Raw genomic sequence first — 15,244 nt, forward strand, 5'->3', positions numbered from 1 at the left:
TTTTCCGAGACGGAGTCTTGCTCTGTTGCCCAGGCTGGAGTGCAGTGGTGCAACCTCAGCTCACTGCAACCTCTGCCTCCCAGGTTCAAAAGATTCTTCTGCCTCAGTCTCCCAAGTAGCTGGGACTATAGATGTACACCACCATGCCCAGCTAATTTTTGGATTTTTTTTTTCTTGAGACGGAGTTTCACTCTTGTTGCCCAGGCTGGAGTGCAATGGCACGACCTCGGCTCACCGCAACCTCCGCCTCCTGGGTTCAAGCGATTCTCCTGCCTCAGTCTCCCCGAGTAGCTGGGATTACAGGCACATGCCACCACACCTGGCTAGTTTTGTATTTTTAGTAGAGACGGGGTTTCTCCATGTTGGTCAGGCTGGTCTCAAACTCCCAACCTCAGGTGATCTGCCCACCTCAGCCTCCCAAAGTCCTGGGATTACAGGCGTGAGCCACCACATCCAGCCTAATTTTTGTGTTTTTAGTAGAGATGGGGTTTCACCATGTTGGCAGTGCTTATTAATTTTGAAAGCTTGCAAGCTTTTACTTACAAAACAGGACATGCCTAACAACACAAGATAGCAGATTATGCAGAAGAAAAGGGCAGGCCCTTGGCCTGGGTACTCTGGACAGTGGTGTTTCTGTTCTTGGAGACTGTATCATCACCACAGAATGGGCTTTCTAGAAATGGGCATTCATCCCTTGCATCAGATAAAGCAGTGTATATTCTCATCTCCCCAGGCCAGCTAAAGAATGTTCTTGAGGCATCAGGCGCGGTAATTCTCACCTGTAATCCCAGCACTTTGGGAGGCTAAGGTGAGAGGATTGCTTAAGTCCAGGAGTTGGAGATCAGCCTGGGCAACATAGTGAGATGTCAACTCTACAAAAAATAAAATACAAAAAACATTAGCTGGGCATGGTAGTGCATGCCTGTAGTCCTAGCTACTTGGAGGGCTTAGGCAGGAGGATCACTTGAGCCCAGAAGGTTGAGGCTACAGTGATACAGTGAGCTAAGGTTGTGCCACTGTACTCCAGCCTGGGGGACAGAGCAAGACCCTGTCTCTAAAAAAACCAAAAAGAAAAAGAATATTTCAAATCTGCCCTAACTGCTCTCCTTCAGTTTCCCAATTGGTGCAGGTACCTGGAACTAAATCAAAACAAAGGTTGGGGGCTCTATGCAAACAGTCCTCACAGGATAGGAAGCTCCAGGAAGGGTGAGTGATGGAGAGGGGTGGGCACCTCTGGGCAGCAGCCCCCTGCCCAGGGCACCTCAGTCACAGGGTGGGAGCACTGTGCAGAGAAGGGGTCCCTGAGGGTAGGAAAGATTCACCTGCAGCTTCCACACCTTCAGGGCAGATGCGACAGCTCACTACAGCCAAACAAAACTGAGGTCACAACTCTTGCAGAGCACTGTTGATATTCACAATAGCCAAAAAGCAGAAACAACCCAAATGTCCATCAACCGATGAATGGATATTTTAAAAATGTGATCCATCCAAACAGTAGAGTATTATGTGGCTATAAAAAGTAATGAAGCACCACCGGACACGGTGGCTCATGCCTGTAATCCCAGCACTTTGGGAGGCCAAGGCAGGTGGATCACCTGAGGTCAGGAGTTCAAGACCAGCCTGACTAACATGGTGAAACCCCCGTCTCTACCAAAAATACAAAAAAATTAGCTGGGCATGGTGGTGTATGCCTGTAATCCCAGCTACTCGGGAGGCTGAGGCAGGAGAATTGCTTGAACCCAGGATACAGAGGTTGCAGTGAGCCAAGATTGCGCCACTGCACTTCAGCCTGGGAGACGAGCGAAACTCCATGTCAAAAAAAAAAAGTAATGAAGTACTGATACATGCCACGACACAGGTGAGCACTGGAGAATTATGCTAAGGAAAGAAGCCAGTCGTAAAAGGCCACATATTATGATTCCATTTATACGAAATGTCTAGGACAGGAGAATCCCTGGAGACAGAAGGCAGGTTAATGGATGTCCACAGTTTGAGAGGCAGGACAAGTGTGTAGATTCTGGGAGTGATGGCTAAGGCGTGTGGGCTTTATTTAGGGAATGAAAATATTCTAGAATTGATTGTGGTGACGATAGCACAACATTGTGAATATGCTATGCTAAACACCACCGAATTGTATGCTTACAAATGGTGAAGTTTGTCAAGTGAATTGTATCTCAGTCATTTTTTAAACATTAAAAAAGAAATCAGATAACATGCCTGAGCTGACACACTAGTTATTACTTTCCTCTACGAATAAAATGGGATTGGAGTTTGCTTGTTCACTTTTTTTTCTCTTTCCTTTTATCCCCTCCCTGCGCACCATGCTCTTCTCCAAAGCTGCTGCAGTAAACCCAGCACTTGCAGGATGGGGGTGTGATCTCACCAGAGTAATTAACATTGACTTCCTAATGCTGAGACCAAGGCTGTGTGGCAGGCAGGGTTCTTAGCTGCAAACCAGAGCATGAAACTGGCTGAGTTAGCAGAAATGGAATTTACCAAAAAGATGGTTCAGAGCTTAGAGAATTGCTGAGAAGGTGGAAAGCTGAAGCACAGAAAATGCAGGGAGAGTTTGGAAAAAAAATCTCAACACTCATATGATCGTCAAAGGTTGTTTTTAGCCTAGATTCCAAAGGTTAAAGCAACTGGCTTTTTAATCATTAAACAGGCTGGGTGCAGTAGCTCACACCTGTAATCCTAGCACTTTGGGAGGCTGAGGTGGGGTAATCACTTGAGACCAGGAATTCAAGACCTACCTGGTGAAGCCCCCATATCTACCACAAATACAAAAATTAGCCAGGCATGGTGGTGTGTGCCTGTAATCCCGGCTACTCGGGAGACTGAGGTGGGAGGATCGCTTGAGCCCGGTAGGCAAAGGTTGCAGTGAGCCAAGATCATGACATTGCACTCCAGCCTGGGCTACAGAGTGAGACACTGTCTGATCTCAGTAACCTCCACCTCCCGGGTTCAAGCGATTCTCCTTGCCTCAGCCTCCCAAGTAACTGGGATTACAGGCACCCGCCACCACACCCGGCGAATTTTTGTATTTTTAATAGACATGGGGTTTCACCATGTTGACCAGGCTAGTCTTGAACTCCTGACCTAAAGTGAGCCTCCCGTCTCGGCCTCCCAAAATGCTGGGATTACAGGTGTGAGCCATTGTGCCTGGCCCAGAGACAACTTTTTATTATCTATTCTCCCTGGAAGAAGAGGATATAAGGAGTTTGGGAGAAATTACATGGAAGGAAAAAATGTAACAACCATCATCAGACTAGGGAAACTCAGCAGAATAACATTACCATTTCATTCTACAGCAAACATCACCCTAACACACGATTATTTTTGCAGTTAAGATGCACCCCTGAGGCCGGGCGCGGTGGCTCAACGTAGTCCCAGCTACTCGGGAGGCAGGAGAATGGCGTGAGCCCGGGAGGCGGAGCTTGCAGTGAGCCGAGATCGTGCCACTGCACTCCAGCCTGGGCGACAGAGCGAGACTCCATCTCAAAAAAAAAAAAAAAAAAAGAAAGATACACTCCTGGGTCGGGCGCGGTGGCTCACGCCTGTAATCCCAGCACTTTGGGAGGCCGAGGCGGGCAGATCACGAGGTCAGGAGATGGAGACCATCCTGGCTAACGCGGTGAAACCATCTCTACTAAAAATACAAAAAGGAAAAAAAAAATTAGCCGGGCGTGGTGGTAGTCGCCTATAGTTCCAGCTACTCAGGAGGCTGAGGCAGGAGAATGGCATGAACCCGGGAGGCGGAGCTTGCAGTGAGCTGAGATCGTGCCATTGCACTCCAGCCTGGGCGACAGAGCGAGACTCCACCTAAAAAATTAAATAAATAAATAAATAAATAAATAAAAAGATGCACTCCCGATGCCCCTTGTTCAGTGACTGGCCTCCACTGCCCCCGACACATGGAGGGAACCAGACTCTCCTAGTATTTTTAGAGAGTCACACATGGTATCCCATGTCACTCCATTTCTCTCACTCCTTGCAGCCATGCCCTCCTCTCTCCATTGATCGGCTCACCCAGAAAAAAGACCCTTTTCTGTTTCCCCACATCCCACACATTCAACGTTCCCATGAGGAAGTGACTTTGCTCAAGGGTTTAAAGGCTTGCTACATCACAGCCCAGTAGATCCTGACTTTAAAGTCTCTGAGCCCTATCAAAGGTGTTATGCCAAACAGCCGTCTTGGTGGTATTCCAGCCCAAGTCTTACCAGCTGACCATTTTTTCTCCCTGCTCATGTAGCTCATTTGAATGAAACACAGGAGCCCCAGGAAGAGCTACCTAGAAGAGCCGATCAGTAAGAGTCCCGGAGCCCAAATTCGGAGGAGAGGAGGACGAAGTCAAAAGCTGCTTTCATGTCCCAATTTGCATTCTGTCAGTCACTGCCTAAATGAAAATGTTTTTGAAAAAACCATCTTGATTTTTGTACCCAGTTTCAACAATTCTTTGTGGGAAAGGACCACAGGAAAAAATGAAAGGCATCTATATATAAAATCTTTATTACAGGCAGTATTGGTCCATACACTAACACAATACCAACAGTACAGGTTTAATCTTTCAAAATCATCATTTAAACAGCAAAAGACCAAGAAATAAAATTTGAGTCAATTATTTTTCAAAATATTCTCAATGCACATTATCCTTAATTCCCTTATTATAGTGAAACATACAAATACAGAAAAATACCCCATTTAACAAATACTAGTGTTAAATGGTTATTTGGCTTAAAATCTGAGTTAAGAAAATCCTTTTTAGCAACCTACATACAGATAAGTAGCAAACTTTATTATATTAAACAAATTCATTCTGCTAAAACATGTAAAGAATTTCATCCATCATGTATTCTGATCCCAGTACAAGTGTTTATTCTCTTACCGTCACGATTCTTATATGAAGGACCAACTCAAAGAGTTGTCCTAGATATAACCTTATCCTCTTCCCCAACACACTTCATCCAAAAGTCTGTTCAACAGATGGCAACCGGGTAGCAGTCACTTCACCATCTGATGCCAGTGGTTCCGTGAGAGCGTGGCCAGGCCTGTGAAACAGCCCATTTTCCTACCTACTGTGGGTTGCTGCTCAGGAGGAACGATATACGCCAATACAAGCAGGAAATCTGCAGCTCCTCTGCTATGTGCCTCAGAACACTTTCAATTTTTCTGGTCAATGCTCTGATTAGGTATCATACATAAAAGCCAGCATATTAGTTTAAATCTTTAAACAAAAAACTATATTTTCCAAAGTCATTATCATTTGGGCCAATTAAGTGATCTTTTCGTGCTTTGTTGAGCTTCATCTTTAGGGCATCTCTTCTTTCTTCCCATTCATGAAGTTCGGCATTTCCATGTGCAAATTTACAGCTGTTTCCTTCTGGGCAGGTGCCATTCATATACCTGTAAGGAGAAGTCAGCTGCTCAGTGTCCATATAAGTTGTTTCTAAAAATCGTGTCATGATTCTTGAAACTGTATATTTCACTAGCTTTATGATTTGCATACAACTTTTAGTTAGGAATCTCAAGCCTAGAATGGTAAATATTTTATAGCCATGACATCTACAATAGAAAAATCAGTACTTTATTTAAATATACTCTATGAAAAGTACTGACTGATAGGAGAAAAAAGACTATAGTTGTTCCTGAATGTAGTAGAAAGAAATCAGAGGCGGCATCAAGGAAAAAAATGTCTTCAATAGTTTTAAGGATCACATGGATCTAAATTAGGGAATTAAATATTAACAGTGATTTAATAAAATAAGCAATTCAGAATTACTTAGTTTTTCACTGAAAAACCTTTTTTTTTTTTTTTTTTGAGACAGAGTCTCACTGTTTGTTGCCCAGGCTGAAGTGCAGTAACGCAACCTCGGCTCACTACAACCTCCACCTCCTGGGTTCAAGTGATTGTCCTGCCTCAGCCTCCTGAGTAGCTGGGATTACAGGCACCTGCCACCACGCCCGGCTAATTTTTGTAGTTTTAGTAGAGACAGGGTTTCACCATGTTGTCCAGGCTGGTCTCGAACTCCTGGCCTCAAGTGACCCAACCGCCTCAGCCTCCCAAAGTGCTGGGATTACAGGCGTAGCCACCATGCCCGGCTGCGTTGAAAAATTTTCTAAGAAAACTTAAACAAAGGAGTGATACATATTAACATCTTCCTTTGATCTAAGTTCTAGATTTTAAATATAATGTAAAAGCCATTTCAAATCTGATGAACATTTACTGTGAGCAAAGGTTGTGGCAAAGGGTTTGAGAATCACAGCTGTGAACACAAAGGTCATTTGGGCAAATTGGAATGAACATGCTTCTCTATTCAATTATCCTAAGACATTTCAAATTAGTATTGGAAGACTATTAAATCTTTTCATATAACCTAAGAAGAGTGAAAGGAATGGTTTGATGAGCAGCGAAACACTTTGAGCCAAAACCCAAGAATCCTTCAGGGTCTGTCAGAGCACAGCAACATTAGAACTTTAACACCCAGGTATTCCGTGTCAGCTGACATGTCCATGAAAATTTGAGGTCAGCAATTCTGACATGGAAAAATTGTAGAAACCTACATACCTATCACAAATACTGAAATAGCCTGTTGGGAAGCGGTGCTGCCAGCAGTACTGGTCGTCCTCGGTGTGGAAAACCTTCTCTTTGTGCTTCTCGGAGGAGATGTGGCCCTGCCACTGCTTCTCACTGTTGCAGTTTTTCCCACACATCCAGCAGTGAAAGTCCACCTAATGTGCAGCAAAGACACATGTCCCATTAGTCACCTGATGTGAGATCCAGACTCAATTCCAGGGAGCCCAGGCTGGTGGGAGAGCCAGGCAAGACATAAAACTCAGGTTAGAAATAGGGACAAGGAAAGGACCACAGCATGGGGAAGCAAGCCAGCACTCAGGACACAGAGAAGAAGGGTGACAAATGCTGCCAGCTGTCCAGGAAATCTCCGGTAAAGAGGCAATAGGAGCTGGTATGCAAACAAGGATGTTTGCTGGGAGAACAAGAGGCAGGTACAAACAAGGATTCAGGGAAGAACTAACACCATGAGGAAAAGCAGAAAGGATGAGAAAGACCAGGACATGCCAACTCCAAAAGGACGAGCAGCAGCTCCCTTCAGTGTACGTGAACTGAGCCACTGCTGTGGCATCAGGAATTTAAAGACACTGCCCCTGTGGGGAACAGACCTATACAAAAGGAAGTGTTATGAGGGGATTTAAGTGCTACAACAGATGCAAACTATAAGTGTTGGATAGTATTTCCCAAATGTCCTGGGCAATAATTATCTGCAACACTGGGTAAAAACAGATTTGAACTCATTCATTGTGGGGTATAAATGAAGACTTTTTATTACTTTATTTTTTTAGAGACATGGTCTCGCTGTCATCCAGGCTAGAGTATGGTGGTGCGATCATAGCTCACTGCAGCCTTGAACTCCTGGGCTCAAGTGGTCCTCCCACTTCAGCCTCCTGAGTGGCTAGGATTACAGGTGCAAGCCACCACGCCCAGCTCTAAGACTCCTTATTATGAAACACCCCAGGTAGGCCTTATTTATTTATTTGTTTATTTTTGAGACAGAGTCTCACTCTGTTGCTTAGGCTGGAGTGGAGTGATGCGATCTTGGCTCACTGCAACCTCCATCTCCCAGGTTTAAGCAATTCTCCTGCCTCAGCCTCCTAAGTAGCTGGGATTACAGGCACCTGCCACCATGCCCAGCTAATTGTTTGCATTTTTAGTGGAGAAGGGGTTTCACCAAGTTGGCCAAGCTGGTCTTGAACTCCTAACCTTAGGTGATCCACCTGCCTCGGCCTCCCAAATTGCTGGGATTACAGGCATGAACCACCATGCCCGGCCCCAGGTAAGCCTTATGATCCAACAAGTCGAGGTGACCTGCTCTAGAAACACCAAGGAGCAGTTGGGCGCAGTGGCTCATGCCTATAATCACAGCACTTTGGGAGGCCGAGGCAGGAGGAGTGCTTGAGCACAGGAGTTTCAGACTAGCGTGGGCAACATGGCAAAATCCCCATCTCTACAAAAAATACAAAAATTAGCCAGGCATGGTGGAGAGCACCTGCAGTCCTAGCTACTGAGGAGGCTGAGGTCGGAGGATCACCTGAGCCCAGGAGGTAGTGGCTGCAGTGAGCCATAACTGTGCCTCTGTACTCCGGCCTGGATGACAGAGTGAGACCCTGTCTCAAAAAAAAAAAAAAAAAGGAAGAAAAAAAAATATATATATATATATAATAAAATAAACACCAAGGAGCACTTAAGTAAAGGTAGCAAGGGAATCAATGTGACAAAGGTAAACATTCACAGGGCATGTCACAAGCAGAGAGACGCTGGGCAAGGCCAGGCCACACACAAGGCCTGCAATGGGCAATGAAACTGGATCTGACTGAATCAACAGAGAGACGGAGGTGCCAAAAAACAAGAAATAAGGGCAGTAACACATATGCTTATGTAAACTTTTAAAACCACATCAAGTGGAACTATAGATTATTTAAGAATAAATGTAGCTGGGCACGGTGGCTCACGCCTGTAATCCCAGCACTTTGGGAGGCTGAGGCGGGCAGATCACGCAAGGTCAGGAGTTTGAGACCAGCCTGACCAACATGGTGAAACTCCGTCTCTACTAAAAATACAAAAATTAGCCGTGCGTGGTGGCCGGCACCTGTAGTCCCAGCTACACGGGAGGCTGAGGCAGGAGAATTGCTTGAACCTGAGAGGCAGAGGTTGCAGTGAGCCAAGATCACATCATTGCACTCGTGCCTGGGCGACAGAGCGAGACTCCGTCTCACAAAAAAAAAAAAAAAAAAAAAGAATACATGTGTTGGCCGGGCACAGTGGCTCATGCCTGTAATCCCACGGTTTTGGAAGGCTGAGGCGGGTGGATCACAAGCTCAGGAGTTTGAGACCAGCCTGGCCAACATGGTGAAACCCCGTCTCTACCAAAAACACAAAAAATTAGCCGGGCGTGGTGGCAGGCGCCTATAATCCCTTGCTATTTAGAAGGCTGAGGCAGGAGAATCGCTTGAACCCGAGAGGCGGAGGTTGCAGTGAGCCAAGACTACCGCATTGCACTCCAGCCTGGGCAACAGAGTAAGACTCCATCTCAAAAAAAAAAAAAAAAATAGAATAAATGTGTCATCCTTAGGTAAACATGGCCTGGAAAAATACACACTGGATCTGTTCCCCTGGGGAGGGGAACATATGGGGTTCTAACTTTATCTGTGGCATTTATTTATTTTATAATAGGAACTACAACAAATTGTTAACATCAGTTAACTTGCGATGGTGGGCTCAAGATATTTGTTATAGTATCCTCTTCACTTTTTTGAAATTTTTAAAAGAAAACCAAAACAGTTAACAGACCACTGGTAACTTAATGTCCCCAAGAACCATAGAGGGAGAGGCCAGACTGCAGGCGTAAGCGGGGAATGTAAGGTCCAGCGGGGTAGACAGCCCACATTCCTGAGCCACCTGCTGGGGCCTCCCACTAGGGAAGAGTCACAGACTCCTCATACTTCACTAATCCATCAGGACAACCCCACTCGGAGACATAAATAATCTACCCAGGGTGCCAGGCAAGTAAGGAGAGAAACCAGGACTTGGACTTATGATTCTCTGGCTCCAAAGTCAGAAGGATTGAAGAAAGGATTTTTTCACATGAGGAGACTTAAGCTAGTGGCAGGAAACCACTAGAGAGAGAAGATGAAGACACAGAACAGAGAAGGGCAGGCAGTGAGTGACGGAGCCGGGTTTTGGAGAAGATGGGAAAGAAAAGAAAGGCCGGGCATGGTGGCTCACGCTTGTAATCCCAGCACTTTGGGAGGCCGAGGCAGGCAAATCACGAGGTCAGGAGTTCGAGACCATCCTGGCCAACATGGTGAAACTCCATCTCTACTAAAAATACAAAAATTAGCTGGGCGTGGTGGCGCGAGCCTATAATCCCAGCTACTTGGGAGGCTGAGGCAAGAGAATTGCTTGAACCAGGGAGGCGGAGGTTGCAGTGAGCTGAAATCACACCACTGCACTCCAGCCTGGTGACACAACGAGACTCCATCTCAAAAAAAAGAAAAGGGAAAAGAAAGGCTCCATCAATGGCTCGGCAAAGAGAGGGTAAATGACGCACGGTACTCACTGTAACTTCAGCATAATCTGTTGGCATGTGAATTTGTTTTCCATTTTCCTTGTTTGACTGACTGGCTATGTCTTCACTTTTTTCATTTTTTTGACTCTTGAGCCATAGTTCGTAAAATTGCTCCATATCTTGTACTAAAGAAAAATGAATTACTTTCAGCAGCAGCAACTAAACTCCATTTAAATACATGCAACTATGTGCATATTTTGTAGCAGTCAGCATACAGTTCAAAAGAAACTCAAGGGGGCTGAAGGAGACTATTATATTAGACATGGAGAGATCACCCAGTTCAAGCAGCAGGTAAACTCTCACGCATAAGAACTACTTTCAGGACTGTTAGATGGCAAATATTAGTTCTCAGGATTAATTAACCCCTCCCTGCATTTGCACGACACTTTGGGGATGTTTAAAACTCAGAAACCATTATAAACAGTATTGTCACAAAAGCCTCACCACTGCCTCTGTCGCCCTACGTTCCACACTCAGTGTCAGAGCTAGAACCACACAAGGCTACTTACGTGGCTTGGGGGACTTGGAGCTGATACACTCCTCACTGCTTACTGAGAAAGATGAGAAACATACTACTACTGGACCAAGATTCTGACCCTGATGGGAGTCCATCAGTCAAGCCACAGTCCCAGAGGGCGGATATGCTGGGCTGCAACTGACAAGACAACCATGACCAAGTCCTGGGCAGTGGCTGCCAGTTGCTTCCTATGGTAAGAACAGGTGTATTCTGCATTATTGCCAAGTGCTAAAGCTGAGGTTTCTCAGCCTCCATGTGGTTGACATTCTGGCTAGAGAATTCTTTGCTGGGGGTATGCCCTGTGCATTACAGGATGGTGAGTAGCATCCCTGGCCTCTGCCCACTAGATGCCTGAGCAACTTCTGCCAGTCATGACAATGAAAATATCTCCAGACATTGCCAAATGTCCACAGGGAAGGGGAGTGGCAAAATTTGTTCCCAGCCGGGCACGGTGGCTCACGCCTGTAATCCCAGCACTTTGGGAGGCTGAGGCGGGTGGATCACAAGGTCAGGAGATCGAGACCATCCTGGCTAACACGGTGAAACCCCGGCTCTACTAAAAATACAAAAAATTAGCCGGGTGTGGTGGCAGGCGCCTGTAGTCCCAGCTACTCGGGAAGCTGAGGCAGGAGAATGGTGTGAACCCGGGAGGCGGAGCTTGCAGTGACCCGAGATCACGCCACTGCACTCCAGCCTGGGTGACAAAGCGAGACTCTGTCTCAAAAAAAAAAAAAAAAAAAAAAAAAAAAATTTGTTCCCAGTTGAGAACCACTGTGCTAAAAACTCTGGTAATGAGGACCTGGTTAAAACTTGGCTTTGTTGTCTGCCTAATGGTTTCTAACAATGTATCATCAGGCAAAGATTAGAGATAAACTAGAAATGCTTCTTCCTTAAGACCAGTGGTGGCAGGAGTCATTGCAAAAGCCTGGTGCGCAAGGGCATCTTCAGTCAGGCCGGACTACATAGCCTCACTCCCAGCAAGACAGCTAGAGGGAATCCCGTCCACACACCACTGACGATCTATGTGGTTGAAACATGGCAGGCAACAGTCAAATCTGGTTGGTTCTTATAATCCAGAGACTGCAGTCAGTATACCTTTCATCAGTTTACTTAAGATTAAAGAATAATGATCCTTGTAGTAAAACATTTTATGGTCAAAAGTGAAAGGCTGTCTGCGGCTCCTCTCAAAGGCTCCCACAATAAACTTGGAATTTGACCAAAATAAACATTCTTTCCTTGGACCTCTGATTCTGAGCCTGTTTGATTAGTAATGCCTCCCTGAAGAAACTGCCAATTCTAACCTGGTTAATTCAGAGGGCAAACTATTTCCAATACGAGCAGATGATCTGATTTAAACAGTCAAGGGAGTACTGAACTTCCCCAGGCCATTTTTTAGGAATACATCTATTACATGTAAGGATGCATGCAGACCTATATATTTATATCCAAATCTGACCTAACCAAACACAGATCAGACGCCACATTCTACCCCACTGAGGCTGTGCCCACATTTTCCAGGCATCATCGCCAACAGAGCTACTGATGAAACGGGGCAACCGTTTAGAATGCAAACTGCTTTCTGTGTTCACAGGAAGCTGGCATATTTATAGAGAGGAAAAGAACTTTCAGGCAAGCTAGCTCAAGGACACAGCTAAAAGATTAACTTACTCCCATTCTCCTTCATGTAAGTCCAAACTTCTCTTTCCTCAGGACTATGAGCAAAGGAACAGTTTCCAACATATTGACATTTTTTCCCAGAAGCAATATGGTTGCACAGCTGTATAAAAAAATAGGAATATGATTAAGACAAAGTACACCTAGTAAAACGGCCTAATTTTTACATTTAAGCAAAAGAAGCATTATTATCCATGCTAATACTTAGTAATCAAATTCTAAAGTAAGATTAATTTGACTCTACTCAAATTAACTATATGCTCTAAATATATGAAATGATATTAAGGTTTCTATCTCAAAATTTTTCAAAAGAAAATGTCCAAAACAGAGTAAAGCATGGAACATTTTCTTACAAGAAAATGTCTACAAACTCACTTACTCAGAACATTTAATCTCCACAATGAACATCCCTGGCCCTCTCAGTCTGACAGCTCCTGTTTCCCTGCCCAACACTAATGATTCCTCCACATCAGCACTTGAAAGCAGTAAAGAAACTGCAGGCTACTCCAAAGGGTACTGAACAGTGCCCAAAACATTTCAGAAATTTAACTTACTTATAACCAGTACTGGAAACTAACCTCGGCCATAATTCACTACATATGCATTATCAGAAGACAATTATCACACTAGCCATACCATGGAGTTACACAGCTTTCAAATAATACCTCTTCAGGTTATTTGTATTTTTATTTAACAAAGTAAATACAGTGATACTGGTAGGAAAATAAAGTGATCGTGATCAGCAGAACGCAGACTTCCCTAAGAATTATGAGCCAGGAACCAAGAAAACCTCCATCACGGAGAATGCATTCTTGAATACCATCAACCTACTTGTCTGTATGAGGTATAAATCCTAGTACAACTAATTATTAGCTTATCTTAGTTTGTGCTTCAACGGCAGCTGGCCCTACATTATTTAGCTTACGTGGCATTAAATGCTTAGCATCTGTCACGTTTTTCAGAGTTTTGGCTAAAACTCGCTCAGCCCCCTTAACACTGTACATTTCCTCCCTTGGACCAATGTCAGTGACCCCACCCTTAAAATCTTCTGCATAAAGTCAGTACTGGATAAAATAGTCATATTCTTTCCCCCGTCAAACCCCAGTAAGTACTTAGTCATATTACTAGGGAAACATTTACCATAGTCTTTCAAAGCTCAATGATAAGGAGCAGGAAGAAAAGCAGGTAAAGGAGAAGGCCAGGCACTGTGCCAGGTGTTTACATAACACCATCACACATAATTATTCCCAATTACAGGTGAGCAAACTGAGGCTGAATAACTTGACTGGGGCCCTTCTGGCAGACTTTGAAGCCCATTGTCTTTAAGCCTCACCACACTCTCTACACACATACACACATACAGTATAATTTCTTCTTTAAGAAAAAAGGTCCCGGGCCGGGCACGGTGGCTCACGCCTGTAATCCCAACACTTTGGGAGGCCAAGGCGGGTGGGTCACTTGAGGTCAAGAGTCCGAGACCAGCCTGGCCAACATGGTGAAGCTTCGTCTCTACTAAAAAAAAAATTACAAAAATTAGCTGAGCGTGGTGGCACACGCCTGTAATCCCAGCTACTCGGGAGGCTGAGGCAGAAGAATTGCTTGAACCCAGGAGGTGGAGGTGGAGGCTGCGGTGAGCGGAGATCGCAACATTGCACTCCAGCCTGGGTGACAGAGCAAGAAAAAATGAAAAAAAAAAAAAAAAAAAAAAAGAAAAAAAGTCCCTTAGCAATACCTAGTATGGCAGGGGAAAAAAAAGAGGAAATAAGCTACTGTAATGTTGCACAGTAGTACACCATGTTCAAAATTAAAGAATAACCAATACTCTAAGCAGCTGCCTCAGGAACCAGGGTTGTTCTCAGTTGTACTCATTTTATCAAAGTACTTGATATACATATTATCTCCATCATCCTTTAAACCACAGGAAATCAAGGTTCCAAATAAACCCCTTTCCCCCTCCTACATAACCCATTAATAAAATCTGAGTCTAAAACCACTTTGGATAAAACACAAACCTACCAACGCCTTGAAAAGGCTGGCTGTGTTACTTGTGTAAGTTTTACAAAACTGCAAGGTACTGTAGGTGGTGAAAAATACATCTACCTCTTCTTCAACTCCTTCTTGCAGTTCAGAGAGAGGCCTCATTTACACGGGGACTCTACAGTCCATCTGCCCTGCTTCTCTGGGCAAAAGGTTCCCTCCACATTTCCTCCATCCAGGTAGAGAGCTTACTACCTGTAGATGCTCCAAGTGTCCCTGTCTGCTAACGCACGTGTGAAGTGCCTCTAGATGCTCTCCAGACCCTCTCTCTCATGAAGAGGAAAGTCCAGGACAACTCAAGTGGTTTGCTCAGACAATCATCTTCAAGATCAGGTAAGGTGCTACAGTGTACCAAGATGAAATGTGGCACTGTGTGAATGAAATACTGTCCTAACTTTAAGTTAGCCTAGTATTTTCTAGTTTTTGAAGAACATGTTCCTCTAACATTGAACATTTTTCTTTGGGTTACTTTTAGAAAGTCTTATAAAGTTAGGTGTCTTGTAGCTACGTATCCCTTGCTGCAGTGAAAGAGACAAGGCATGATAAAAACAAACTCATCAATAGCATTCATAATACTGAAAACCTGAGGTTTGGTATCAAACCAAAGAAATCACAATTAAATAAAATTTGCTCTCATTCCCTCTCCAAAGTAATTCATCTAAAAAATAAGTTAAATTGTCCCCATAACTTTTCCTCAGATCCACTATCTATTTACTTTTTCCAAGTAACTCATAAAATTCCAATCAATATGAAAACTGCTATGGAACCATACATATACTAAAGGGAAGGAAAACCAAAGAGGAACCATTTAAATAGCATTATTACTGACGAATATTATTTAAAGGGCTTGAGTTTCAATCTGAATTACTACTAT

At 44.3% G+C, this 15,244-nt stretch overlaps 1 protein-coding gene across 8 annotated transcripts in view; it reads right to left on the reverse strand.

The window, feature by feature from the left end:
* Positions 1–4,493: 4,493 nt before the first annotated feature.
* Positions 4,494–15,244, reverse strand: part of ZC3H7A (zinc finger CCCH-type containing 7A) — a 46,662-nt gene continuing 35,911 nt past the window's right edge. For 7 of the 8 annotated variants that reach the window (NM_014153.4, XM_011522463.3, XM_047433996.1 and 4 more), the window contains 4 exons: positions 12,328–12,436; positions 10,134–10,267; positions 6,566–6,729; positions 4,494–5,403 (listed from right to left, as the gene is read on the reverse strand). In NM_014153.4, coding sequence (NP_054872.2) covers positions 5,214–5,403; positions 6,566–6,729; positions 10,134–10,267; positions 12,328–12,436 — 597 coding nt within the window. In that variant the 3' untranslated portion in view covers positions 4,494–5,213. Of the gene's footprint in view, positions 5,404–6,565; positions 6,730–10,133; positions 10,268–12,327; positions 12,437–15,244 lie in introns of those variants that run through there. The other variant, XM_047433997.1, reaches the window with a different exon arrangement.

The sequence above is a fragment of the Homo sapiens genome, chromosome 16 (assembly GCF_000001405.40).
Source record: "Homo sapiens chromosome 16, GRCh38.p14 Primary Assembly".
NCBI classification, from domain to species: domain Eukaryota; kingdom Metazoa; phylum Chordata; class Mammalia; order Primates; family Hominidae; genus Homo; species Homo sapiens.